Below are 27662 nucleotides of genomic sequence, written 5' to 3'. Positions count from 1 at the left end.
GAACTGTAAGGCTCTAATAGTCAAAGTATTAAGTACTTTGAAGCTTTGCTGTCCAATACAGTAGCTATAAGCCACACAAGGCTATTGAAGACTTAAAATGTGTCTGGTCTGAATTGAGAGGTACCCTGAGTATAAAATATACATTGGATTTCAGAGACTTCGTACCCCCCAAAAAGAATGTGGAATGTTTAATAGATCATTTTAAAGTATTGATTACAGGTTGAAATGGTAATATTTTGGGCATACTGGGTTAAATAAAATATATTTCTGAAATTAATTTCACCTGTGTCTTTTTTTTTTAAAAACATGGCTACATATAAAGCTCGAGTTCTATTTCTGTTGGACTGTGTGGCTTTGGAACATCTGGCTGGATACGTCCCCCTTTGCTGGTATTCTCTTACAAAATTTTCTTGGCTGGTCACATATGTTTATTCTTTCAAATGAATTTTAGAATTGTTTTGTCGGGTAGAAAAATCCCTCGTGAATTTGATTGATAGTAAATTAAACTTAGAAACTAATTAAAGGAGGAATTGACATAATTTACAGTATTCATCAGGAACATAGTATATTTTTTCAGCTTATTTCATTCTGCTTTGATGTTGTACCATGAAGTATTATATATACATATTTTTATACAGGTCATCCATTTTTAAAAATCAGGATTATTTCAAGGATTTTTTTTCTTTTTGCCATTGCTCATTGAATACTTTCCATCTATTGGTACACAGGAAGGCTACTGATTTTTATAGAACTATCTTTTATCAAGCAGCTTGATTGAACTCATTAATTCTAATATATCTTTGTGGAGTCCCTTGGGTTTTCTAGGTATACAGTTGCACTCTGTAAACACTGATAATTTTGGATCCTCATCTCCAATCTGCACCGTCTGGAACCTTCAGAGCGATGTTAAGTCACAGCCGTGGCTACACGCATCCTCATCTGTGCCTGGCTTTAACGGCAACGCCCCCGGTATTTCTCTGCTTAATACAGCGCTTGCTGTGGATTAAGATGGATTTCATGTGAAGGCAATATCCTCTGAATTCTCGTTTTCTAAGATCCCATTTTTATCAGTAAAGGAGCTGAAATCAAGATAAAATGTGTCTTAACTCTTAACGCTCCCTTCTCTCACCTCCAAAAGCCAGAGGTGTTGCGATTCCGGGGTGTTTGTGTTCTCAGCCTCGGCCTCAGCTGTCCACTTTGCTGGGCCAGGAATGAAACCCAGTCCCCATTTACGCACCATGGGAAGCCCTCGTAGGGAGGGGCAGCCTTCCTGCAGAAGGTGGGGGAGCCAGCACCTCCCGGCCACGCGGGTGACTTCTGGAAGAACAGGACCCTGTTCTTGGAAAGCCCTTTGGGCCATGTGTGGGGGCATTTCCACTTTCATCTGTGGGTTCTTTCTTCCCTCCCAGTGGCGTCTCCCTCCCTCTGTCCAGTTTCTCTGGAGCAATCCCTCCATTCTCCTCCTGTGTCTTAACAGCGGACTTTGCCCGCTGCTCTGAGGTGGTGGCACTGTCTGCAGAGTCTCCTGCTCTTCCAGTCCCACTGTTATCTGTTATCCCATGTGCTTCTAGAAGGTGTTTTTCCAAGCAAAGACATTTCCCTCCTTAGAAGAAATCTGTAGGCGGGGCACAGTGGCTCACGCCTGTGTAACTTGAGGAGGCTGAGGCGGGCAGATCACTTGAGGTCAGGTGTTTGAGACCAGCCTGGCCAATATGGTGAAACCCCATCTCCATTAAAAATACAAAAATTAGCTGGGCATGGTGGCACACGCCTGTAGTCCCAGCTACTTGGGAGGCTGAGGCAGGAGAATCTCTTGAACCCAGGAGGCGGAGCTTGCAGTGAGCTGAAATTGCGCCACTGCACTCCAGCCAAGCAGCAGAGTGAGACTCTGTCTAAAAAAAAAAAAAAAAAAAAAAACAGAAAAAAACCAAATCTGTGGCTTGTCTTGCAGAAGAGCATTTCCATTGTGTGATCTCTCTGCCTGCCCACTGATGGGCATGGGATTTGAGGAGCTTTGCACAGCATCTGTACATAGGCCCCATCCTGAGAGATTCTGCTTTATCAGACCTGCGTGAGCCCTGGGGTCTGTACTTTTCAAAAGCTACACAGGAGAGTCTTTTGTACAGCATGACGGGTGCTCACTAGCGAGGGCTGTGGGGAGTGGGGGCTCACAGACCAGACTTGGGGCCTGGCTCTTCTCTTGCTGGCCTGTGACCCTCCATTTTCCCAGTTAAGACACCACCTGCCTCACAAGGTGTGTGTCAGTGAGGGAGCAGAGGGGGATGAGGCTGGCTGGCCTCAGTCAAAGGGAATTCCATGGGGGGCTTGAGGTGGAAGGAAGCGATGGCCAGTGGGCATGGCCCGGCTTGGGATGCGGGAAGCTGCCACAGCGGTGTCGGCTCCTGGCCCTCTGCTCTCGGGTCTCTCACCTGGAAATTCAGAGCCCCGGCAGAAGGAAGGCAGCCGCCGTCGCATGGCTATCCCCAAGGCCACACAGTAGGGAGGGGTCCTCACAGGCAAGCGGGCAGGATAAGGGGGTGAGGGCTCCCAGGGCAGTAGCTGGCCTTTGCTGCAGGGCTGTCCACACTTGGCGGCCACCTGGAGCTCCATGGGCGTTGAGCACTGATCCTGCAGACCTGATCAGGGCAAGGTGGGGGCAGTGGTAGGCATCCTCCTTGGTGCTCCTCAGTGCCCTCCCAGGCAGGTGCCCAGGCCCTGGGAGGCTCCTGGTCTCCTCTCCTTCCCTTCCTTCCCCTCCCTTCCTCTCTGCACTCCTCCCTCCCTTCCTCTCCCATCCCCTCCCTCCCTCCCCTCTGCCCTCCCCTCTCTGCACGATGGCTGGCCACTGGCCACTGATCCCAGCACACTGGCCCTGAGCTGAGGTCTGGGCTTCTGGGGCAATGCAGGTTGGGTCACAGACTGAGGTACTGTCTGAGACCCTGTGATAGTGGGAAATTATAAATGTATGTTTGTTCTTCATCTCTGGTTCCTGCCTCAGAGCTCCTAAAACCTTTGTAATTTCCTGAGTGTTAAGGGTGATAGAAACACCTTTTATTATCAGATTTGGTCTGAGTCCCCTTGTTCCTGATATAAGAGTTTCTGGATTGTTGGGTTGAGAATTCAGCCTCACTTCCCCAACCTCTGGGGATGGGAGTCATGGAACTTCCATGAAAACCCCTAAATGACAAGGTTTGGAGAGCTTTGGGTTGGTGAACAGGTGGAGGTTCTGGGAGGGTGAGTGCCCAGAGAGGGCGTGGAGGCTCTGCAGCCCTTCCCGTTACCTTGCCCTGCCCATCCCTCCCATGCAGCTGTTCCTGGGTTGTGTCTTTAATAATCAACTGGAAATAGTAAGTAAAATGCCTCCCTGAGTTCTGTGATCTGTTCTATTAATGAACACATGTCTGTCTGATTCCAAGGTCACAGTTACTTTTGCACCAACCTAATAGCAAATTACAGAACCTGAGGAGGGAGTTGTGGGACCCGCCCAATTTATAGCCGCCTGGTCAGAGGCACAGGTGGAAAGCTGGAACTTGCCACCGCAAGTGGGGCTGCTGTGTGGGACTGAGGCCTTAACCTGAGGGCTAAGCTGACCCCAGGTAGTTGGCATGAGCATTGCACTCAACTGTGGGGCACCCAGCTAGCGTCTGGAGGTTGGAGAACTGGTTGGTGTGAGGGAAACCACATGTTTGGTGTCAGAAGCATTGTGAGTGAAAACAGATCCCAGTGGACCTCACCCAGCCTGGGGGCTCTGATAGAACAAGGGGAGGTCCCAGACCAGGGCTCAGCCCTGCCGACAGGGAGAAGGCCTGAGTTTCCAGAACAGCCCTAAATGCAGCTGCAGAGACAACTGTCATAGGACGGTTGTGCTGGGTCCTGGTGCTGGGAGCCCCTCCCTCCCTTCCCCCTCCTCTCCCTCCCTTCCCCCTCCTCTCCCTCCCTTCCCCCTCCTCTCCCTCCCTTCCCCCTCCTCTCCCTCCCTTCCCCCTCCTCTCCCTCCCTTCCCCCTCCTCTCCCTCCCTTCCCCCTCCTCTCCCTCCCTTCCCCCTCCTCTCCCTCCCTTCCCCCTCCTCTCCCTCCCTTCCCCCTCCTCTCCCTCCCTTCCCCCTCCTCTCCCTCCAGCTTCTCCTCCCCTTCCCTCCTCTCTCTTCCCCCTTCTTTTCTCATTCCTCTTTTTCCCACTCCCCTCCCTTCTCTTCTCCCTCATCTCCCCTTTTTCCCTTTTCTCTCCATTCTCCCTTTATGTCCTCTCCCCTCCCTGCCCCTTCTGTCCTCTCCCCGTTCCCACCTTTCTTTCCCAGAGTCTTTCATCAGCCAGGACTCCTGGGGACCCTTCCTGGCTGGGGGCCCTTCGTCGTCAGCTGCACTCTGCACCTGTACCTTCCTGGTACATTCTGGGAACCAACAACGAGCCATCCCAATGTGCTGGGAGGAAATCAGGGCACAGCGATGGGGATGACCCACCCCAGGTCCCACAGAGCCCAGAGCCAGCTCCTTTCACTGCAGCTGGAGCACCAGATGAAATCTGTACCTCCTCAGAGGTACAGATAACTCCCCACCTGTACAAGCAGGGTGAATTGCTGAAAAGGGGAATTCATGTCTCCTCTCCTTGGCCTGCTACTGAGTTCTTGGTGCATTTTCTAGCAAACAAGGTCAAGGCTGAGTCCCTGCCCTGCCAGAGCATCCTCCACCTCAGATAGGGCGGCTTGGCCTTTGGGCTGTCTTTCCTGTTGGGGTGCCCAGGCTGTCACGGGCTGTGTCCTCACTGGGGAGGGTGGCCCGATGAGCAGGGCTGCTGGGAAGGTTGTGCAGGTGGTGTGCTGGGCAAGGTGGCCAATGAGGCCAGCCTTTGCTCCGTCTGGGAGTGAATGGAGTGGAGGTTGGAGGGTGCGCAGCGCTGGGTGGAGATCACGGGCACTGGGGGAGGGGAAATGTGTGCCAGGTGTCTGCCTCCACAGTCAGGTTGCCAGAGTTGCTGCGTTCTTCTCTTTGCAGAGCTTCTGCATTCTCGGGACTAGGGACATTAAAAACCAAAGCCGGGGCAGTTGCAGGGAGGCTGCTGGACATTGCAGGTGGCCCTGATTGGGGCAGTCTCAGCTGTGGTGACTACGCTGTGGCCTTTGGGGCCAGGGATGGCTGGTCCAGGACTGGGCATGGTATGGGGTGGGTAGATGTAGGCCGTCTCTGTCTTGGTGTCAGCCTGTCCTGATAGACTCTGGGGGCTCAGAGTCCTCACAGCCTTCCCCCAACCTGCCTGCAGGTGCCCACCTGGCTCCCCAAGGCCTGCAGGAGTCCGCTGGGGCTGGGCTGGCCTGGGACCCTTGGTGGGAGTCAGGCAATCGTGTTATTGTTGAAACTTGTTTCCTTTTTTTTTTTTTTTTTTTGAGACGGAGTCTCGCTCTGTCGCCCAGGCCGGACTGCGGACTGCAGTGGCGCAATCTCGGCTCACTGCAAGCTCCGCTTCCCGGGTTCACGCCATTCTCCTGCCTCAGCCTCCCGAGTAGCTGGGACTACAGGCGCCCGCCACCGCGCCCGGCTAATTTTTTGTATTTTTAGTAGAGACGGGGTTTCACCTTGTTAGCCAGGATGGTCTCGATCTCCTGACCTCATGATCCACCCGCCTCGGCCTCCCAAAGTGCTGGGATTACAGGCGTGAGCCACCACGCCCGGCCTGAAACTTGTTTCTTTAATGGCTGGTGGTTACGGCCCCCAACTTTCCTCCTCTGAAGCTGATTGGTTCTCCCTGGGGCTAGTCATTAACCCTCTGCTAGCTTGGGTGGGTTTATATTTGCAGAGCTTCCTTTTTTATTCTGCCGGGCTGGTGTTTTGTTTCTTCGGTCAGCTCTGTCAGCCTCTCTAGTTGCTTTCTTCTGGTTACTCAGCCTGTAGAAAAGTATCAGCCTTTCAAAGAAATACTCCATTATATGTTTTGCTTTTTTCCTGACTTGATTTTTAAATATATAACTCCTTTAATTCAAGTGAAATGTGTTTCTTATACTGTATAAGGTGTTGGTTTTAAGTGTTCATTTTTTTCTAAATTGCCATGCTGTTGTCTCAACACCATTCGTTTGCTAATTCACTCTTTCTTCTTGACTTTGGAATGTATATTCCATCATCTGTGAAGTTCATGGAGGATATGGGGTTTATTTCTGGCCTTTCTGGGTTTTGTTTTGTTTTTTTTTTTTTTTTTGAGACGGAGTCTCACTCTGTTGCCCAGGCTGGAGCGCAGTGGCACTATCTCGGCTCACTGCAAGCTCTGCCTCCTGGGTTCACGCCATTCTCCTGCTTCAGCCTCAAGAGTAGCTGGGACTACAGGCGCCCGCCACCACACCCGGCTAATTTTTTGTATTTTTAGTAGAGACGGGGTTTCACCGTGTTAGCCAGGATGGTCTCCATCTCCTGACCTCGTGATCCGCCCTCCTTGGCCTCCCAAAGTGCTGGGATTGCAGGCATGAGCCACTGTGCCTGGCCTTTTCTGTTTTTCTTTTGCACCAGTCCAGGGGTCTTTAATTGCTGTTGGTTGACAATATGTTCTGACATCTGATAGGGCAAGTATCACCATCGTGAGGTTTTAAAAAAATGCCTAAAGTAGTGTCCCCTTTGCAGAAGGCCCTCAGCAAATCTTTGCTGAACAAATGAACGACATCTTCATGATGTTTAATTTTCTCACGGAAATAAGAAGATTGATTCAGATGTTTAAAAACATAGCCCAGTAGGTTTATTACTAAGAGACTTAGAATGTTATTGCCATTGTCAATAGGGTCTTTTCCATTATATTTTACACCAGATTGTTATCTGGGAACACTTTTAATTTATAATACAGTAGGTGATTATTTACTCAGAATACCTGGGACCTGCTTCTTTCAGACTAATGATATTCTCAGAATTTAGACATCTTTATTCCCAGGGAGAAAACAGAGTTAAAAATGACACATTAGTGCAAATCATACATGCATGTGCAGAGCTGCCACGAACCACTTGATACCCATGGTTGACCTGGCAAGCCCAAGCCCCAGCATTGCTGTCCTCAAGGCGCGCCCTTCCTGGCAACAGCCCCTGCTTCAGATCCTTTGCTCCCAATGACCTGCATCTTCCCATGTCTTAGCAAAGCAGTCTCTCTGTTACTAGAATGGCACAAATATGAACCACAGATAATCACAAAAAGTCCTTCTGAAATAAATCTCTTGCCGGGTGCGGTGGCTCACGCCTGCAATCCCAGCACTTTGGGAGGCCGAGGCGGGTGGATCACGAGGTCAGGAAATCGAGACCATCCTGGCTAACACGGTGAAACCCCGTCTCTACTAAAAATACAAAAAATTAGCCGGGCGTGGTGGTGCGCGCCTGTAGTCCCAGCTACTCGGGAGGCTGAGGCAGGAGAATGGCGTGAACCCGGGAGGCGGAGCCTGCAGTGAGCTCAGATCGCTTGCACCACTGCACTCCAGCCTGGGCGACAGAGCGAGACTCTGTCTCAAAAAACAAAACAAAACAAACCTAAATCTCTCGCTTGGATGTTTCCCATGTTTGCGTTCCCAGATATATGAGTTTCTCTATTTATTTTGCATCTAGACTTTTTATGAACTTCCTTGTTATTATTTGGTTCCTTTTTTTGGATGTTTTTGGGGGTGAGGATTCTCTACGTGTGCAGTTACTTTCTGCAGTTCATAATATTGTCTCTTCTTTTTCAACATGTTTTCGTTTTATGTCTTTAGTAATTTTGTGTGGGAGCTACAACCATGCCTTCAGAGCATCTAGCCCCGCTTCTAAGGGAATTGAGAACCAGGTGCTGCTTCTTCTGTGAATGCTGGTGGTGGTAGACCCAAAGTGGACAAACCTTGGCCTGAATGGATCTCCCAGGCCCATTTCCCCACGGTGGCACGGCTTTCCTTTCCCTGCTCTCTTGCATCAAGTAGAGCTTCGAACGCAGGATGTGCCCATGTTGTGGTTTTATGGGGATGAGTGGCGGCGGTTGACCTTCCCTTTCAGTCAAGGAGGCTCTCTCAGTCCCTCGTGGTCTGTTAGGTGTCCCCTGTGGTTGGGGAGCAGTGCACCGGGCATGCACAGGGTTGTTTGCAGGCTGGCAGGAAAACTGCGGTCTTTGAAAGATGCCCTGAGTTTCTACGGGGGATGTGGTTCAGTGAGACACTTTCAGGAGAAGGCTGGCGAGTAGATTCGGTGGTACAACCTGGAGACTCTATGAATGTGGACTGAGGAGCCCTGTTTTGAGTCCCTGCCTTACCCTTCACAATGAGATAATTTTCTGCACTTCAGGGTTCCCATTGTGCAGGGCGGAGTTTGCACACTGGTGGGCCACGGGCCATGTCCACCCACAGATGAGTTTTGTTTGGCTTTTCCAGTGTTTGAAAATTTCTCACAAAGCTCAAGATTTCCAGTTTCTCTTGAGAACCAGGAAATCTGCCGGGCCTATGTGCTGGAGGGCTAGAGCTGAGCAAGGATGGAACCCTCTAGAAGGGTCCCACAGTTCCAGGTGCCTTGGGAGTCTCTGCTGCTCCCTATCATTACCCTGGCGGGCTTCACGCGCATTCACTCCCTGTGTAGGCACCTGAGAGTTTCTCTTATTTTGAGATGAGTGCTGCATGGGCTTTGGAACGGTCATTTCTTCCTCCCCTCTCTCTCCCTCTCCCTCTCCCTCTCCTTCCCATGACTTCAGTTTTTGGCCATCAGCCCCTGCAAGGTCCCGTGCGCTGGAGTCAGACGCGATCTCGCTCCAACACGTGGGCTTGGTTTTCTGCTCCCTCCCTCCCTGGGCGAGCGAGCCTCCTGTTTCTCATCTGTGAAAGGTAAAAGCTGATGACGGTAACTACTCTGGTGGGTTATGATGAGGATTAAATGAAGCGAGGGCCAGCACTGAGCAGCGAAGGGCCTGTTACTACAAGATCATATTTTCCTGATGGCGCTGCTAGGAGGGACCACAGTGTGAAAGCGCTTGGACACACGGAGCCAGGTGCAGATTTTGTCCCTTTTGAGAGCTCTGTGGGCGGGGCTTGGGCGGGCATGGGAGTGGGGGGCGGGGCCGGGGGCGGGGCACAGGCCGGGGTAGGATGCTCTCCCTGCCCCAGGCATCACCGGCCTGGGATGTGTTGCCAGTGGAGGCCGTTACTGTTCTGAAATGGAATTCCTGGGTCAGAATAAGAACAGATGTTTACTGGAAGAGGCCAGGAGCCGCTGACATCACCGAGAGCCCCTCAGGACATGGCTGAGGCCAAGGGTCCTCTAGCTCTTCCCGCCAATACAGCATTCCTGGGGCAGCTGCCCGGCTGGGGGTGGACACACACACACACACACACACACACACACGCACACACAAACGCCATTTCTCCACCAAATCCTTCCCACCTGAAAACAATTAGTCAAGATGCGGAAAAGATTTCCAGTCTGGAATGGGAGAAGAGTCTCGTGGCGGGCAGGCCCCAAGAAGGGAAATGGAGGTCAGTGTGGCGAGGGGATGTGCAGGACGGAGAGGCAGCCTTTGTTGGGGGAGCGCTCTGATCCCTTCCTCCGCACCCCTCAGCTGGGAGGACTTGGCCGCCTGGCCGTTCTCCTTTGGGAGTGAATCCGGAGGGTGTGGCCCAGAGGCGGCTGGCCTCGCTCCTGTCCTCCCATCCACACCTGTGCAGCTGGTGCCTGTGCCCCTGTCCCTCCCACAGGCCATCCCCAGGTCCACACTCCTGTGACTGCAAGTGACAGAAAACCGGGGCAGAAGCGGCTGGGGCCAAAGGGGGAATGCGGGGCTCAGGGCGGCAGCCCAGGCCTCCCGCACGGTTTCAGCTCAGCCGCCCTCCCCGTGGGTCCTGCCTGGGCAGTGCACCAGCCGCCCGGCAGAGAGAGGCCCAGGTTCCCCGAGGGTTTCTGGGAGAGCCCAGTGGTGAGTTCTCACTGGCTCAGGTTGGGTCACATGCTTCAGGCAAATCACTATGGCCAGGACAGCGGAGCAGGACTTCGGCTGGCCAGGCCTCGTCACAGGACTGCTGTGGCTCCAGGGCTGGCGTCTGTCCTCTGACCCTCTGGGAGTGGGTCGGGGAGAGGATGGGCCCCAGAGGAAAGCCAGGCTGATGTGTCAGGAGGAGCTATGGGTCCCCATTGCCTTCTGTCTCCAGGACATCTGCCCTGTCTTCTCCCTGCCCCCGTTTCTCCCACTCCCTTCCAGCTGCCCATGATAAGCACGCGGTCTCCCTTCCGTGCCCCACCCGAAATGCTCCCCATGGCTCCTCCACTTTGAGGGTAAAGCACAGGCCCCCAGAACCAGCATTCAAGGCCCCTCCTGACCATCATCATTTCCTGCTTGCTCTACCCACCATGTCCACCTTCCCGTTCATCCTGTGGGCCTGGGACAGGAGCTCCGAAAGATCACACACACCCATCAACTGTCAACTCTGCCCACGTTGGAAACAGTGCCTGTGGCAGGTGCAGGAGGGGACCATTTGTCTTGGCTGAAGTTGAATCTGAAAATGACCTAAGGACTTGAAGGAACCAGGGCCTAGTGTGTGTCGGGGTGTGATCGGGTGGCTGAAGAAGCTGAGACTCCTTGGGCCTCATGGGCTTTGCATTAGCAGAGCAGACAGTGGGGGGGTCCCTGAGGACCTCTGGGCTTTTGCCTGAATGCTGGGAACCCCATAGGCCTGGCCAACTTCTCATCACCCCTCTTCCAGCAAACCTTCCTGTCTTCTGTCCTGGTAGTTAGCACAGCTGTTCCATGTCGTGAACCCTCCTGCCAGCCTGGTGAGGCCCATGGACCCCTGATCAAAATAATGTGTTTAGTGTACACTACAAAATACAAAGGAAATAAATCTGATTGAAATAAAGCTATCGGCCAGGCATGGTGCCTCACGCCTATAATCCCAGCACTTTGGGAGGCCAAGGCAGGAGGATGGCCTGAGCTCAGGAGTTTGAGACCACCCTGGGCAACATGGTGAAACCCTGCCTCTACTAAAATACAAGGAACTAGCCGGGCGTGGTGGCGGGCATCTGTAGTTCCAACTATTCAGGAGGCTGAGGCACGAGAATTGTTTGAACCCTGGAGGTGGAGGTTGCAGTGAGCTGAGATCGCACCACTGCACTCCAGTTGGGGCTATAGAGTGAGACTCTGTCTCAAAAAAAAAAAAAAAGAGAAAAATAAAGCTATCAACATACACATGCTTTTAAAATTTTTAATCATTATTATACCTTACACATTTTTGATAATAATGTTATTGAGACATAATTCACATACTATGTATTTTACCAACTTATAACGTAAAATTCAATGAATGGCTTTAGTATGTTCACAGAATGGTGCAACCATCACCACAATTTTAGATCATGTTCAAGACTCTGAAAAGAAACCCCAGACCCTTTAGTAACCCCCAATTACCCCGTCCTCCCAGGCCTAGGCAACCACTGACCTACCTTCTGCCTGTATAGATTTGCCTGTTCTGGGCATTTCATTAGTATAAATGAATCACACAATATTTGCCCTTTGTGTCTGGCTTCTTTCACTCAGCATAATGTTTTCAAGGTTCATCTAGGTTGCAGCATGCATCAGAGCTTCATTACTTTGGATGGAAAGATATGATTCCATTGCATGGATGTACCACAGTTTTTTAAATCCACTCATGGGTTGATGGATTGGGTTGTTTCCACCCTTTAGCTCTTGTGAATAATGCTGCCAGGAACATTCATGTAAAACTTTTTTGTGTGCTTTTAATTGATGCATTAAATAATAAGACCTAGGAGTGCATCTTACAGCCTCTATAATTTAAGTTGTGCTGAGTGTAAACACCATTTGGTCTGGTCTGCAGCAGCGGTGCTGACAGTTGCCGAAGCCTGTGATTTCTGCCCTGACGGGCGCAGGTGCTGTTAAGTCTGGGGTTGCTGCCTCTCTCCAGAGTTGAAGGGAATGGCAGCTTTCAGTTCCCAGTTAGTAAAGATGAAGTTGAAGTGTTCTCTTTTCCCAGTTTATGGAGCCCAGGTTAAGAACTCTCCAGGGAGCTCCCACAGGGCAGTGACAGGTCCCAACGGCCCCTGGCAAGTGCTGTGGCCTGTGGCAGGACCAGGTGTCCAGATCAAGCTGGCGGCTGTTCTGCCTGCCCTCAGCCATGCTGACACCTGCCACGAAGCCTGGTGTCTGCTTCTTTCTCCTCCCCAAAGTATTCTCTCTGTCCTTAGCTTGGGAGTCCTACAGCTGGAGGGTGGGGGGCCCAGGCCCTCCTGGACTGCTGCCCCTGGGGCCCCATTGTCTTTCCTTCTGCCAGGCCATTTCCCTTCGCAGCTATTTAGAAGGGAAGGCAGCCAAAGGCCTGTCAGAAGGGGGACCACGGATGGATTTTCCATCAGATGTGCAGACCTGCTCCCTGACACTGGCTGGCTCGGTGCCTGCCTCTCGAGGGCACCAGGCCTCTGTCACTTCCTGTGCAGCCCCTGCCAGCCATGAGACAGGTGAGGGCTCCTTGGTTTTGTGGAGACTGTCAGTCTTGGCTCTGGAGTGGCCTCAGTCCTAGGCAGCTCAAGTTCTGCCTCCCGCCAGTCCTGTCTGCAGGCAGGATCCAGTCCTCACGCACCCATGCTGGGCACGGCCCTGCTTCCACACCGTGCTCAGGAGGAGAGCGTCCACTCCCAGGAGAGGACTTGCCAGGCACCTCTCCTTAGGGACACCTGCAGTTAGGGGTCTGGCGCCAGCTTGTGTGTGAGAGATTAACTCCCCCTGGTACCGTCAGGCCCCGAGTGAGGGAGCCGCAGCCCAGAGAGGCCTCTTTCTGTCCAGTTTGCATCGCCACATTTGGGTTTCTGTCCCGCCTGGCCTGGGCCCCACCTGCCTGCGGAGCTGCCGAGGCCCTCGTCTAGTGCCCTCCCAGAGGGGCCTTCAGTCCTGGTTCTTATATTACAGAGGCAGCCAGAGGCTTCCCTGACTCTGTGGCTGGCGCAGCCTTGACAAGTCATCTGGAATTGGCTCACGGCCTCCTCGCGTCTCCCGGTGTCTGATGTGGCAATGAAGCTCTATTTCAGGGCCTGCGGGAGGACCCAGCGTGGCTCAGGGTTTGTCCTCAAGGGAGGGCGTGGATCAGAGCCTGTAGTGCGGACCTGGGTGGGGGAGGGAGAACTGGACCCTGCACTCCCTCCTGTGTGACCATGGGCGGGTTATTTCACTTCTCTGCACTTTCAGAGTCTCCACCTTGAGATGGCCCCGTGAGGACTGATTCAAAGAAGGCACGGGCCGTGGGTGCATCCTCTGCTCCTCTCCCCACCTGCGCTGGGTCCCATCAGATTTTGGCATTCCCAGCACCGGCAGTCCTGGGGTGACTCACGATGGCTGGCAACTTTTTGTCCTGTCTTTAAGTTAAAAACTGTCGTATGTGCCTTCATATAAAACAGAATGCAGAAATAAGCCAAAAGGAGAAAATGGAAATCCCTGCAGTGCCATTAGCTTTCAACATTTTTGTGTGTCTCCCACGTCCATGCACATATGTGTAAACATACTTAATGACAAAAGGGTCGTATTGTACCTTCCCTTTGTGATCTGCCTCTGCCCATGCCACATATAATGGAAATATTTCTGGATCATCCAGTGTTCTGCCGGAACATCTTTCAATAGAGGCAGCATAATCTACTCAGGAAACATGGAGAGGCCGGGATCTCCAGGCACTTGGGTCTGTGGGCCTGGGGGCTGAGGGAGAGGCTGAGGAAAAGCACTCCCCAGCTTTTGACTTGCACAGATGGGTGGTAGAGAGGAAGGGTAGCTTGGAGAGAGGGTTTGTCACTGGGGCTGTCTCTTGGAAGGAGTCTGGCAGCTGGAAATGCAGGTCCTAGGTGCAGGGGCAAGGTCTGGGTAGAATTCGGGTTGGGAGCGCTCTGTATGGAGGGCTGTGGATTCCACATCCTAGGGTGGGTGGGCGGGCACCAAAGGAAGAGGGAGGCAGAAGGGGAAGGAAGTGCTCCTTGGCCCCCCACCATGTGCAGACAAGTGGAGGAGGCAGTGGAGTCTTAGGAGCGGGGCTGCCCACCTGCTAAAGGATGAGAGAGGTTCAAGAGGAGGGGGTTCAGGGAATTGGGATGGCAGGGGGCATCAGGCCCAGCAGCCAAGAGGGGGCTTTGCAGGGTCGCTGGGGAGTTGGTGGAAGCTAGACTGACCAGGTGAGGGGCCAGTGAGAGGCAAGGGAGTGGAGGGAAGCTGGTGCGCATGGCACACATGCTGCGGTGGGGCAGACATCAGCTGCGGAGGGTGTGCAGTCTTAGATGTGAGTGCAGTGTTTACGTGTGCGCTTGTGTAGATGTGTGTGTGGCCCTGCCTCGAGCACAGAGGATTTTAGGTGGCTTGAGTTTGCTCAGGGACCGAGGATGAGGATCCGGGAGATGGAGAGTTTGAAGCTATAGAAGAGAGAGTGTATTAGTCAGGTGTTATTCCTCAAGTGTTGGAAATCCAAGTAAAAGTGGCTTCAGAAAAAAGAAAAAAAAACTTATTGGTTAATCTGCAAAAAGAAAAATATCTAGAACTATCTAGCTTCAGGTGTGGCTGGATCCAGGTGCCCAAATAAATTTTCAGTTGTTTTTTTTCCCACATCCCCAACCCTTGGCTTTGCTCTCCTCTGTGTCGATTTCACTCTCAGGCCTGCTCTTCTCTGAGGCAGAAAAATGGATGCAGGCAGCTGCTGCATTACCTCCTCACAGGGCAACAACCCGGGGGAAACAGCTTTTCCTTTCCAACAATTCCAGCAATAGTTCCTGGATTTAACTTCATGGAATACCTTGTGGCAAGTCCTCATCCCTGAGCTATGTTCATGTAGTCAGATGACAACGTATTCTACCTGGCCTAGGCTGGGTCATGTGCCCTCCTTGCCCACTGGTGACGCAGGGATGAGAGCTGGTTCCTGAGTGACACAGGGGCTGTGCTATCAGAAGGAGAAGGGTGGGCCAGGAACAGTGGCTCATGCCTGTAATCCCAGCACTTTGGGAGGCTGAGGTGGACGGATCACAAGGTCAGGAGATTGAGACCATCCTGGCTAAAATGGTGAAACCTCGTCTCTACTAAAAATACAAAAAAAAAAAAAAAAATTAGCCAGGCGTAGTGGTGGACACCTGTAGTCTCAGCTACTCAGGAGGCTGAGGCAGGAAAATGGTGTGAACCCAGGAGGTGGAGCTCGCAGTGAGTCAAGATCGTGCCACTGCACTCCAGCCTGAGTGACAGAGCGAGACTCCGTCTCAAAAAAAACCCAAAAAAATGGAGGAGGGTGGACTCCAGGCAGGCTTAGGGTTCCCAAGGAAGTGGCTGGGGCCAGGATTGGGAGACCTGGAAGGCTGGAGGAGGGAGCTGCTGCCCAGGAGCACAGCAGGAGAGAGAAGGACACGAGGCAGACATGGAGCGGGAGGGAATTTCCTCCGTGGCCTCCCTTCCCTCACCAGGCAGGGCAGGGACAGTGAGGCTGCTGACCAGCCTCTACAGCTCTCCTGGGAGTCGGCTGGCTCTGCAAGGCAAACAGAAGGCTGGGGAGGTTGACTGATCACCGGCTGCTCCAGGAGCCGTCAGGCTGGGCAGCAGGAGTGGCCTGAATGCAGAGAAGCAAGCCTTGAGATCAGGCAGGGCAGTCTTCCTACATTAGGAGTCTGGGACCAGGCATTCTGTGGGCCAGGCCGGAGATGTGGCAGGCTGGGTGTGAACGTGCTGACCAGTGGGGACCTGGGTTTGGGTGCTGGGGAGCCAGGCGTAATGACTGCGGGGGCTGGTGAAGGCTGAGTCCAGTCTGCACGCATGCTTCCTGTGGTTTCTGGGTGAAAAGAGGGTCACAGCTTTTTGCCTCAACAGAGGGGAGAGGCTTCTATTCTACTGGTTGAGTGTGGATGGGGAGGGCTGGGAGGGGTAGGATGAGGTGGTAGAGACATACAATAAGCAAAAGGCCAAATAAACACCTTCTCAGGTAGTGGCAGGAACTGGGAAAGTAAGCAAGCAGGCAGTGAGGCTGGGAGCAGCAGGAGGGTGTGAGTGAGTGCATGTGTGTGGCTGATGTGTGAGCACGTCAGTGATGCATGTGTGCAAATGTGAGGCATGTGTGAGTGCATGAGTGTCATGCATGTGTGCACATGTGTGGGCGTGTGCATGTATAATGCATGTGCTTGATGCATGCATGTGTGCACTGCATGCCTGTACATATGATACCTGCATATGATACACATGTATGACCGATGCACATGTGTATGTGTGGGTAATGTCTGCCATGCACATGCATGGGGCATTTTTCTGGTGCATGTGTGTACTTGTGTGTAGTGCACATGTGTGGACATGTGTATGTGATGCATGTGTCACAGGAGATGCACATATGAGTGATGTGTGTGTGCATGCGTCTGCATGGTGCCTGTGTGACGCCTGCGTGTGAGTGCACACGTGGTGCATGTGATGCGTATGGACATTTGTATGTGGGTGCATGCATGCTGCATGTGGGAGTGCATGAGTGCACATGCATGTGTGTGGGGGCCTGTGTGTTGAGGGAATAGCTGTTGGGAACCCTCAGTCATAACAGGGCTGTGTGAAATCTTCAGCTGGAGGAAGACAGGAGAGAAATAGCGTGCAGCTGTGTTCCTAATGGCACACACGCCCCTTGCCCAGAGTGCATGGTGGAAGAGGGCTTTCTGGCCCAGGGACCAGCTCTCTTTGTGGCCCAGGCCTGCTGCTTTTGGGCTGGGGTCTGACCTTCCTGGAAGACCCTTCGGGGCCCCGCCTCTCAGAGGCCAGGCCCCAACGTCTCAACGCTCAAACAGCGACATCAGTGTTTCCCCCAGGGGAGTCATCCTGGGGAGGCTCAGCTCCATCCTGAGCCGAGGGGGCCTTGGCATTGCCCCACCTGCCCTGGTCTGAGAAGGAGCTGTCCTCTGCCTCTCTGTGGTCTCATGGGGACAAATGCCAGCCACTGGACAGTGGCCCTTGTCGTCTTCTAACTGTCAAGATTCCAAAAAGACGGAGGCGAGGGGTGTGCGGGAGCACCCTCTGCGTGTGCTTGGCTTCTTCCCCACCAGCCTTCTTGTGAGAGGGCTAGAAGCAGCTGTCCCACTTTGCAGTGGGCCCTGTCCCTCCTGGCAGGGCAGCTGTGGCCGTCCCTGGCTGTCCCCGCCCCGCCCGGCATCTCCTTCTCTCCCCATCCCCTGTCTAGCTGGCCCCGCCTCTCCTCCCTGTCTTGCTTTAGTCTCATGCCTTTTTAATGAGGGCTCAGCCTCCTGTGTGCTGAGGCTCAGCGGCAGCGCATTTAATTAATACTCTCGCATCGCAGTTCTTCAGAGTAAATGCTGCCATTTTATTCCTCACTAATTGGAAGGGGCTAGTTAAGCTCTGAGATAAATGACCCTTTCTGCTGGGAGTGTCTCAGCTCAGAGTCTCCATGAGAGTGGCTGGAGCCTTGGATGGGAAGGGCAGGAGGGCTGGCCTGCTGTGTTCCTCCTGGTCCAAGGGGGGCCTCTTTGCTAATGGCCAGGGTAGAGACGTGGCCAGGGTGAAGCCTGCCTGACCTTTGGGGAGGACGTGCAGGTGGAGGCTCTGCTGACCAGCAGGGCTTCAGATTCATCACTGCCCGTTCCTCATGTCCCGGCTCCACCCCAGCCCTGGATGAGCCCCAGGGACCCCAGGGAACCTTCAGTCTGGGTTTCCAGAACCTTTCCCTGGCCCAGTCTACACCTGCCTCCCTCCCTCACTGTGGACCAGCCCCACCTCTACCCTCCATCCTGTACGTCTGCTCCACTCTCCCCAGCTGGCGATGAGTCTGGCCAGGGAGTCTCAGCTGGTGCTGGCACGCTAACCTCCCCTAGACGCGTGCTGAAATGTACACGTGTGTGTGTGGGTGATGTATGCGATGCACATGTGGGGGCGTTTGTGTGGGGCATGTGTCCCTCAGCACACATATGCTCTGTGCCCGCTGGCCATCCGGGGGACATAGATTACACCAACACTGCAGTGCTGCTGGCCACCCATGGTCTGGGCAGCAGGAAGAGGTGCAGGAGTCCCCACACAGTGTCGCTGGGATGGCCTCTGGGTCCGTGCTTATAGAAGTCTCATGAGTGCACCCTCCGCCCACCTGCTCGCATCTCTCTCCCTCCACGAGGAACTGTGCTGTGGCCTCCTGGGTCTTCAAGCTCCTTTCCTGTTGTGTTGGTGACAGGAATCGGGGTCAGAAGGGCAGCGTCCGAGCAGGCTTGGATGAGATGTGTGATATTGTGTTACCATATCAGCGACTCTGCTAGCTGAGTCCATCTTCAGGGACAAGGATAGCTGTAGCCAGACCTACGCATGGATTTATGAGGAACTACCAAGAAACCACTGGGAGGAAAGACGCCAAAGTGCTGAGGAAAAGGATGCTCAGAGGTGGCCCTGCTGCCAGCTGGCAGAGTGACAGGAGGGCTGGAGGCTGTGGGGACCCAGGCCACGTGGGGTTGGGGCTCTGGGCTTTGTCCTTGTGTTCCTGTAATTGTCTGTTGCTGAGAATTAGCTGGAATTTCTTTCTTTCCTTCTTTTGTTCTTTCCCTATCCTTTCCTTCCTTTCCTCTCTTCTTTCCATCCTTTCTCACCACTGTGTATTCTTTTTAAAAAATTAAATATATTTCCTTTTTTTGAGACAGGGTCTTGCTCTCTCCCGGGCTAGAAGGCAGTGGTGCAATCGTAGCTCCCTGCAACCTTGACCTCCTGGTTCATGGGATCCTCCTGCCTCAGCCTCCAAAGTAGCTGAAAGTACAGGTGTGCACCACCATGCCTGGCTAATTTTTTAAATTTATTTTTTGTAGAGATGGGGTCTCACTATGTTGCCCAGGCTGATCTTGAACTTCTGGACTTAAGCGGTTCTTGGCCTCCCAAAGTGCTGGAATTATAGGTGTACACCACTGCGTCCCGTCCCCACTTCATGTTCGACAGCAGTTCTCCGTGCCTGCTCTGCCCTGGGCCTTGCTGGACTGGGGTTGAAGAGGCAGCCTTCTGTTCTCTTGGAGCTCACAGGTTCCTGGAGGGACACAGCAGGAAGGTCTCAAATGCCATCCCTGGGAGTGGGGAGGGTGTTCTGTGGGGCTGGGGAGCCCTAGGGGGCCTAGGCAGGAGCCTGGGATGCCCACATGCAATGACCCCCTGAGCTGTGGCCGACTCCCCAGCCCTGCTCCTGAGGGCCCTGCTGCTCTCAGCATCTCCCAGGGTGTCACCCTTCTGGGTTGCTAGATCTCTGCTGCTCTGGTGTGGCCTCTGTCCCTGCCGACCCCTCTGAGGGACACAGCTGTCCTCTGCTGCGGTGGCTCTGGCCTCGGAATGGGGCAGCCTCTTCCCTCCAGGCAAGAGCCTTTGAATTCTTTGCCAGCAGGACTTCCTGGGCTCTTGTCTCCCGTCTGCTGCCCGGTGCCCACGCCCCAGTCTGGGACTTGGATGTCTGCCTGCTGCCTCCCTGTTTACACTGATCTGATCTGCTCTTTCCCTCTGGGAGCTTTTGAACTTTCTCTTTGTCTTTGATGTTCTTAGGTTTCATTATCGTGGGTCTAGCTATGGAGCTTTTTCTTATATATGTATTGATAAGGCCTCTAGGAACCCATCCATGCTGGAATCTTTCATGTAATTTTGTTTTTTGAAATATTCCTTCTCTCACCTCCCCGACTCTCTTCTGGGACTTGCCCACGTCTCGCAGCTTTTCTCCCTGCCCTCTGTCTCTTGCTCCTTTCTTAGCACACAGCGAGAGCTCTGTCCAGATCCCCCAGTTCTGCGGTGGCTGTGGCTGTTCAGTTCCTCTGTTCTGCTCTTCGGTGCAGCCACCAAGCCCTCTCTCCAGTGGCGTTTGTGCTCAGCAGCTCCTGGGGGCGGCCAGTTCCTGTGGCCATCTGGGGCTGTGCTTTGTCTCTGGAAGGATCGTTGTTTCAGTTTTCCTCTGCGTGCCATGGGCGGTCCTGGGTACGGCGTCTCTAGAACGTAGTACCTGCGCCACTCAGATCCCAGCTCGTGTCCCCGGAGGTGGAGACTGTGGCTGGTGGTGCTAGGAGGGCTCATGCCAGCTTCTAGCTCTGGCTTCTCCTCGTGAGCGGGACAAGGGAGATGGGAGGAAAGTCCCCAGAGATGGCTTCCCTCCCACCCAAGCTCTGTTTCCTGACCTGGGATCCTGGCTCCCAATGGTGGGAAACAAACCCCCTTTGGGGACACCCCCACTTCACTGGCAGGAGTGCAGTCAGCCCTGGGATCCCGACATGACCTTCCCAAAGCACTGTGGCCTCAGTGCTTTCCAGAAGCCAACTGTGGCCTCAGTGCTTTCCAGAAGCCAACTGTGGCCTCAGTGCTTTCCAGAAGCCAGGGTATTTAATCTTGTCCATGGCGACGTGGACGCGTGTCTTGGGAGGAGCCCTCTGGGGTGGGGCAGAGGCTGTGTTAGGTGGGAGGGTCTGAGGCAGGGACCCAGGAGGAACAGAAGAGAGAGAGTGAGTGAGGCCTGCTCCATGCAGGGGCAGGGGGAGGAGGAGGCCGGGGTGGGGCCTTGGGGATTGTGGGGGGGGTGGGTGTAGGAATCCAGTACCACTTCCAGGTTCCTTCCAGGCTTGAATAACTGGGAGAAGGGGGCGTAGCTGGCTGTGATTAGGCTCTGGGAGGGGAGTCGCTTAATGTCAGGAAAGAGAGTTACTTCTAGGTAGGCCCTGGGCTTGAGGCTCCCGGGCCATGCTAAGGGACATTCCTATGTCCCTTGCAGCTCTTGGTTGGGCCTGGCACAAAAAAGTGTGTGCCCAAGACTCCTGTCTGTAGGTGGAGGTCTGCTGGAGTAGAGGTTGGGGGCACTGGCGGGGGACAGGAGCCCCACCTGGGTGCAGGAAGGCTACAAGGGCTTGGTGGAAGAGCGTGGAAGCCCCCAGAATCAGGGGCTTGTAATTCTGGCCCGTCACCCTGTGGGACAAGCACATGGGCCTCTGCATGCTGTCTCACCTCATCTGTAAAAGGGAGACAGTCCAGTGAGGATGTGGGCCCGTGAGAGAGAGACACGGCCCGGGGGGCTGCAGAGGCAGGAGCGCTGTGGGTGGGAGGGCTGCTTCCTGGGCTCTGAGTACAGCACGGTGCATTTACTACTCTTGTCTCAAAAAGCAGGGAAAACTGAGTATTCCGGCCACGCCACGCCACGCCACGGGGTGGGGAGGAGCCTGGCCTTGCCGCTCCCTGCACTCTCCTCTGCGCTCACTTAGCTCAGAGCTGGCGGCCGCCCAGCTCCCAGTGAGACGTGGCAGCCAGGAGGCTGAGGCCCAGCCAAGCCCCAGATGGCTGGCGAGAGGTGCTTCCCCCGAGCTGAGCAAGACAAGGACAGGGCCGACCCGGTGGGAGGGGCAGGATGGGACCAGGAGCCCGGGAAATGCCAGTCCTGGCCCTGGCCCTGGCCGGTCTGTGTGCTCCCAGGCTGCGCCCAATCCGAAGCCTCCGTGTGGATGCAGAGCCTGAAGCTGGAGGTCTGGGCATAGGCAGGGGTGTGGGGTGTGTGAGGAACCCCCCCGCCCCACCATCAGGTTCTGCCTGGGAACTCCTGGTCCTGGAGCTGACACCCCTGCTCCGGCCAGGCCCTCCTCTGTCTCGGTGTGAGTGTGTGTGTGCACGAGTGTGAATGCGTGTGCGTCCCCTCTGCTGACACCCCTGCTCCGGCCAGGCCCTCCTCTGTCTCGATGTGAGTGTGTGTGTGCACGAGTGTGAATGCGTGTGCGTCCCCTCTGCTGACACCCCTGCTCCGGCCAGGCCCTCCTCTGTCTCGGTGTGAGTGTGTGTGTGCATGAGTGTGAATGCTTGTGCGTCCCCTCTGCTGACACCCCTGCTCTGGCCAGGCCCTCCTCTGTCTCGGTGTGAGTGTGTGTGTGCACGAGTGTGAATGCGTGTGCGTCCTCTCTGCTGACACCCCTGCTCCGGCCAGGCCCTCCTCTGTCTCGGTGTGAGTGTGTGTGTGCATGAGTGTGAATGCTTGTGCGTCCCCTCTGCTGACACCCCTGCTCTGGCCAGGCCCTCCTCTGTCTCGATGTGTGTGTGTGCATGAGTGTGAATGCGTGTGCGTCCCCTCTGCTGACACCCCTGCTCTGGCCAGGCCCTCCTCTGTCTCGGTGTGAGTGTGTGCATGAGTGTGAATGCGTGTGCGTCCCCTCTGCTGACACCCCTGCTCTGGCCAGGCCCTCCTCTGTCTCGGTGTGTGTGTGTGCATGAGTGTGAATGCGTGTGCGTCCCCTCTGCTGACACCCCTGCTCTGGCCAGGCCCTCCTCTGTCTCGGTGTGAGTGTGTGCATGAGTGTGAATGCGTGTGCGTCCCCTCTGCTGACACCCCTGCTCTGGCCAGGCCCTCCTCTGTCTCGGTGTGTGTGTGTGCATGAGTGTGAATGCGTGTGCGTCCCCTCTTCACAGGCCACTCCTGAGGAGGGAGCCCCGGTAAGGCTTTAGGCTGCTGGCTGGTTCTGGGGTTGCCATGAAGTCCTGAAATGCTATTCTATTGCTGTTTCTTGATGTATCGGGTTTCGATGTTGTCCATTGACTTCCTGCCCTGGAAGAGGAGGGTTTAGCTCACTGACAACACTGCTGCCCCTCCCAGCCCCATTCTTCTACCATAATTCTCTCACCACTTTTAGTCCATATCAGAGTTCCCCATTGTATTGGTTTCTGAGGCTGCCTGCAAATTACTACAAGCTTGCTGGTTTGAAACATTAGAATTGTATCCTCTCACGGTTCTGGAGGCTGAAATCAGTTTCAACAGGGCAAAACGCAGGTGGCGGCAGGGCCGCGCTCCCTCCGGAGCCTCTAGGGGAGGATGCGTCCTGGGCTCTTCCAGGTCCTCGTGGCAGCCAGCAGTGCTTGGCTTGTGGCCTCTTCGCTCTGGGCTTCAGGGCCGACATCCTCCATCTCCCTCTGCTCTGCCTGTACGTGGCCTTCTCCTCTGCCTGGCTCATCTTGCTCTGCCTTCCTCTGATAAAGAGAAGTGTGATTGCATTTAGGGCCTGTCTTAGTCCATGCAGGCTGCTATAGCCAAATACCATAAACGGAGCGGCTTAAAAGCATCGGAAGCTTATTTCTCACGGTTCTGGAAGCTGTGCATATGGTTGTGGTGAGGGTCTGCTCCCTGGTTCAAGAAGGCATCTTGTTGCATCCTCACATGCTGAAAGGGTGAGGGAGCTCTCTGGGGTCCCTCTGATCGGGGCACAAATCCCATTCGTGTGGATGGAATCTGGTGACATAATCACCTCCCAAAGGCCCCACTTCCTAATATATCACCTTGGGGGAGTAGCTTTCAACATCGGAATTTGGGGGGAATATAAACATTCTGTCTATCCCTGGGCCCACCCGGAAAATCCAGCAGTCACTCCATCTCAGGATCCTTGGACTCACCGCATCTACAAAGTTCTTTTTTGCCATGGAAGGTAACATTTATGGGTTCCAGGGATTGGGACCCGGACGTGTCTTCGGGGGCCATTTTTCAGCTGACCACTGCCATGGTCGTCTGACTGTTATATTTGCACCTCTGCAGCTTCTAACATTAGCCTGGGGCAGAGGGTCTAGAGTATGCCCTTAGCGGCACAGGGTTCCCATGCCCCTTCTCCCTCCTCCCCACTGCTGTCATTTCTACCTTCCCTTCAGCAAGGCAGAGTGTTGTTAAATGAAAAATGATTCAATGATACTTGTTAAAGCGCGGTAAGGCGGACTTTATTCAGGACCATGGAGATAGACACAGGAACCGCTAGAGTGGGCTCTTGCAGTCGGGGAGAGAGACTGGGCTCAACTCCGAATACAGCACGGGCGAGTGGGGGGTGATAGCCAAGGAGCAGGGTAGGGGCCAGGGGATGGGGAATTACTAAGAGCAACATCAGGGGTCGGGGATTCTAGCTAAACTCACCTAACATGATTCTAGCTGAAGACAGGCTGGGGTGACCAGACATCACCAGAGGGGTGATGGGGAGGACGAGCCTGACCAGATATCAAGGGTGATCAGATATGGAGAGATGGGGCATTCATGACTTAGCAGAGTTCTTGATAAACTGGATCTTACAAGGAAGTGGGCGAAGGAGAAGGTTCAGGAGCTGGACTAAAGTTTGGTCAAGCAGGAGAGTCCCTGTCAGTGTCCACTGTTCAGGTCCTTTGTTGTCATTGAGGCTTTGCTGGCAGGTGGATGTCCCTGTGATTCTTGGCATGCTGCTCACCACTGTCTGACCCTGGCCCATTGCTGTGCCTCTGAGCCAGGCGGCGCCTGCCCATGGGCTAGAGAGAGCAGAGTGGAGGGGCATGACCCTGCACAGGACAGAGCTGGACGAGGCCCTTCCAGAGAAGTGGCCAGCCAGAGGCCAGCTCCACCTGGGCCAGGAGCGCCAGGCCCTGGGGGAGAGGGATGGGGACGTGGCCTTCCTGTTCAGAGGGCGGGGGAGGCTCGGCCTCAGAGTGAACATCTGCTGAACATACGCATCCTCCCCTTATATAATGCTGTCTGGAAAAATGGTTTCCTGTTGTTGTTGAGATAGGAGTCAACGGGCCCTGCACTCGGTGGGTTGGGGGGTGGGGGGCTGGGGAGTGGAGAGGGTGGTCTTTGGCTCCAACCTGGGGTGGAAAGGGGCGGAGGTCCAGAGGACCCAGCCGGCAAGTGGGTTGGGGCAGGCAGGGGCAGGTGGGGTTGGGCACCCTGCTGAGCTGCTGTCCTGGGCCATGCCTCCCTGACCCCTGCAGTTTGGCCATGGTCTGGGGTGGTGGCCCTTTCACTGTCCCCAGGAGGACTAAGGCCCTGATGCCTCTGCGTCCCCAGGGCAGGGCAGTAGGGCCTCTACACCCACCTTTGAGGGACCCTGGGAAGGTCTAGAGCAGTGTGTCCCAGACTTCAATGTCATCAGACCACCTGGGAACTTGCCAAAATGCAGGTTTTAGTTCAGCTGGTCTGGATGGGGCCTGGATTCAGCATCTCTAACAAGCTCCCGGGGGCCCCCAGGCTGCTCCAGGCCACATTTTGCATAGCCAGGCTCTGCACCACCATCCCTCACCCCAGCCGGGATTCTAGCACCGGTGGGTGGCCCAGAGACGCCAATCAGATTCTTCTGTGGACTTGAACCTCTCCTTGTTCCTGGAAATCCTGAGATATTTAATGACCAGGGGAGCCCTCTGGGGCTCTCTAGGCCATACTGTACCCTGCAAGGCAGCCTATGGGGGGGCTTCGGAAAGGCTTGTAGATGCCTCCTGATCCTCCAGCTTGGAGCTGGGGGGCTGAGCCCCCAAAGACAACAAGACCAGTTCTCTGTCTTTCTTCACTGTGTTTCTGCCTTGTGGTATGAGCAAGGCATGCCTAGATCCCTGCCCGCTGGGAGCTGCAGCCTGGTGGGGGAGGAGGGCCGTCCACAGGCCCCCACAGCAGACAGCAGAGCATCTCAGCGCCTGAGCGCTGTGGGGACATGGGACGTGCAGGGAGCCCTGGGCAGGCGTAGTCCGGGGTGGTCTCTCCTGGAGGGTCCTGGGTGACAGGAAGGAGCAGTCAAGGCATCAACCTGGGCAGATCCACAGGACATTCAGGGGCACCCTTGTCTGTCCCCAGGGCCGCAGGCTACTCCCAAGGCCTCCCTGACTTGAACCCCAGAAGCCAGAGGGCAGGGGTGGGGCAGGGAGGACAGGAGGGACATGCAGTGGGGGCCTGCTGGGTCCAGGGTCCTGCCCTGCCCTGAGGCAAACCCAGGGTGTTTTGCCCTCAGAGCTCCTCCCCTATGCATTTTAAATAGAAGAAACTGAGGCACGGAGAGGTGACCCACCCGGTCAAGTGGCAGGGCCAGAGCCTTTTTTTTTTTTTTTTTTTTTTTTTTTGGAGACTGAGTCTTGCTGTGTTGCCCAGGCTGGAGTACAATGGCATGATCTCGGCTCACTGCAACTCCGCCTCCCAGGTTCAAGCGATTCTCCTGCCTTAGCCTCCTGAGTAGCTGGGGTTACCGGTGCGTGCCACCATGCGTGGCTATTTTTTTTGTATTTTTAGTACAGACAGGGTTTCACCATGTTAGCCACGATGGTCTCTATTTCCTGACCTCGTGACCCGCCCCACCTTGGCCTCCCAAAGTGCTGGGATTACAGTCAGCCCCAGCTTTCTGCAGTGTCTGGAGGGACCAGGCTTCAGGCTTGGGGGCCGGGCTAGGAAGCTGTGCACAGTTAGAGTTGAAGGTCAGGTCTGGGTCACTGTTGCCAGGGGAGCAGGTGTCTGCAGACATCTGACTGGGATGGCTTTGGGGGGACATCCTGTGACCTGGGTCCCGAAGAGGTGGCCTTTCTCCAGCTCTATCCACCAATGGCCCCAGGCCTGTGGCCACTGAAGGCAGAAGCAGTGGGACTGGGTCTGCCCCAGTGGGTGCCTGGCTGAAGTCTCCCTGCACAACCCTTGGGAGGCATGCTGGCTCCTAACTGGCCTCTACCCGGGGAACACAGAGTTTTCAACTGAATTGGTGTTTGCGCCTCTCTGCTGAGCTGGCCCATCTCTCCATGTAGCTTCCTGTGGATGGCGCAGCTGCAGAACTCCAGTCCACAGTCAGGAGGCACGGGGCTGCCAGGGCAGCGGAAGAGACCCAAGGGCAGGAACGCCCGCCTCAGCCCTCTTCGTATCTTTCCCTGGACCCAGGGCCTCACCATGGCCTGGCCTGTCCTCCTAGAAGAATGGCTGAATGAATGGGCAGCTGAGGGGGATGCTAAAGGCAGGGAACAGTACCCCGAGGGCTTCAGTGGCTGTCTGGCTCCCAGCTGGCCTAGCTGCATCCCAGGGCCCCTGGGGTGGGAAGGAAGAGGAGGCAGAGGGGCCAGGAACCTGCAGGAGGGTGGGGTTCCATGGCAGCCCGCGCCCTGCTTCCACTCAGGACGCCAGCCAGATTCATCTGCTGGGACACCACCTTAGGAAGGAGGCACTTCTCTGAGAGGCCTTGGGAATTTCCCCCAATCCACATACACATGGGCATCATGTTGGGAGAAACTGTTTTGCAAATACAATTAAAAAGGATCCTCCCAAAGTTTTGCCTAGAAAAAAAAAATGAGGCTGTCTATTATGGGGGCCTGCAGGCATGGTCATCGCATTGCAGGAGCTCCTGTGGGCTCTGGTGCCCCTGCACCCTTGCTCGTGAACAGTGGCGGCTGCCCGTTCCTGTCCTCAGCCTGCCCAGGGGCTGCGCGGCTCCCCTTCCAGCTGGCGTGCGTGACCTTTCCAGCTGGCATTTCGAGTGCTCTCTCTGGGCACCGCTGAGCTCCACGGATCCCCAAGGCGGTCATTTGTCAGATGGTCCTGGTGACTCCCGACATCCCATCAGCGTCTCCTGCTGCTAAGACAATTGTGTCAGACAACTCTCAGCGCCTGTCTTCCCACCTCCACCGAGCAGCCTGAATGCTTTACTAACTGGGGAGAAATCAGAGCACCGGATCCTCCACTTAAACCCCTGTTTTCTCCTTGTTGTCGCTCCAGAAGGCGGCAAACTTGGCCCACTCTGCACCACAGGGACCTTGGCAAGGAAACCTTACACCATCCTGAAGTAGGGGAAGGGAGCCTCGGGAGGGCCGGCGACCTCCCGTACTCAACTCCATGCCTGTGAGATGCCAGGCACTGGTCTGGTGACGTGGACCCAGCAAGGACAACTTTGCTCTCGTAAGATCCCTGGTCAGGGGGCAGAGAGTGACCCAATAAAGAACCCACGTGTCGATGATTGGGAAATGGTGTTACAAAAAAATAGGACAGGATGGCAGT

At 54.7% G+C, this 27662-nt stretch overlaps 1 protein-coding gene across 2 annotated transcripts in view, besides 2 other annotated features; it reads left to right on the top strand.

Moving 5' to 3' along the window:
• The window catches only part of ADAMTS2 (ADAM metallopeptidase with thrombospondin type 1 motif 2), a 234609-nt gene that overhangs the window by 9948 nt on the left and 196999 nt on the right, over window positions 1–27662 (top strand). The window lies entirely within an intron of this gene.
• Window positions 2482–3018: an enhancer, noted in NCBI's record as "H3K4me1 hESC enhancer chr5:178759497-178760033 (GRCh37/hg19 assembly coordinates)". NCBI's record gives its function as "activates a minimal SCP1, AML or CMV promoter by ChIP-STARR-seq in primed H9 embryonic stem cells {active_cell/tissue: H9 hESC(primed)}" and the evidence as "EXISTENCE:reporter gene assay evidence [ECO:0000049][PMID:30033119]".
• Window positions 14977–15476: an enhancer, noted in NCBI's record as "H3K4me1 hESC enhancer chr5:178747039-178747538 (GRCh37/hg19 assembly coordinates)". NCBI's record gives its function as "activates a minimal SCP1, AML or CMV promoter by ChIP-STARR-seq in naive H9 embryonic stem cells {active_cell/tissue: H9 hESC(naive)}" and the evidence as "EXISTENCE:reporter gene assay evidence [ECO:0000049][PMID:30033119]".

Source organism: Homo sapiens, chromosome 5 (assembly GCF_000001405.40).
Source record: "Homo sapiens chromosome 5, GRCh38.p14 Primary Assembly".
Lineage (NCBI taxonomy): Eukaryota > Metazoa > Chordata > Mammalia > Primates > Hominidae > Homo > Homo sapiens.
The sequence above is the reverse complement of the archived record's forward strand: the minus strand, read 5'-3'. Positions and strand labels throughout refer to the sequence as shown.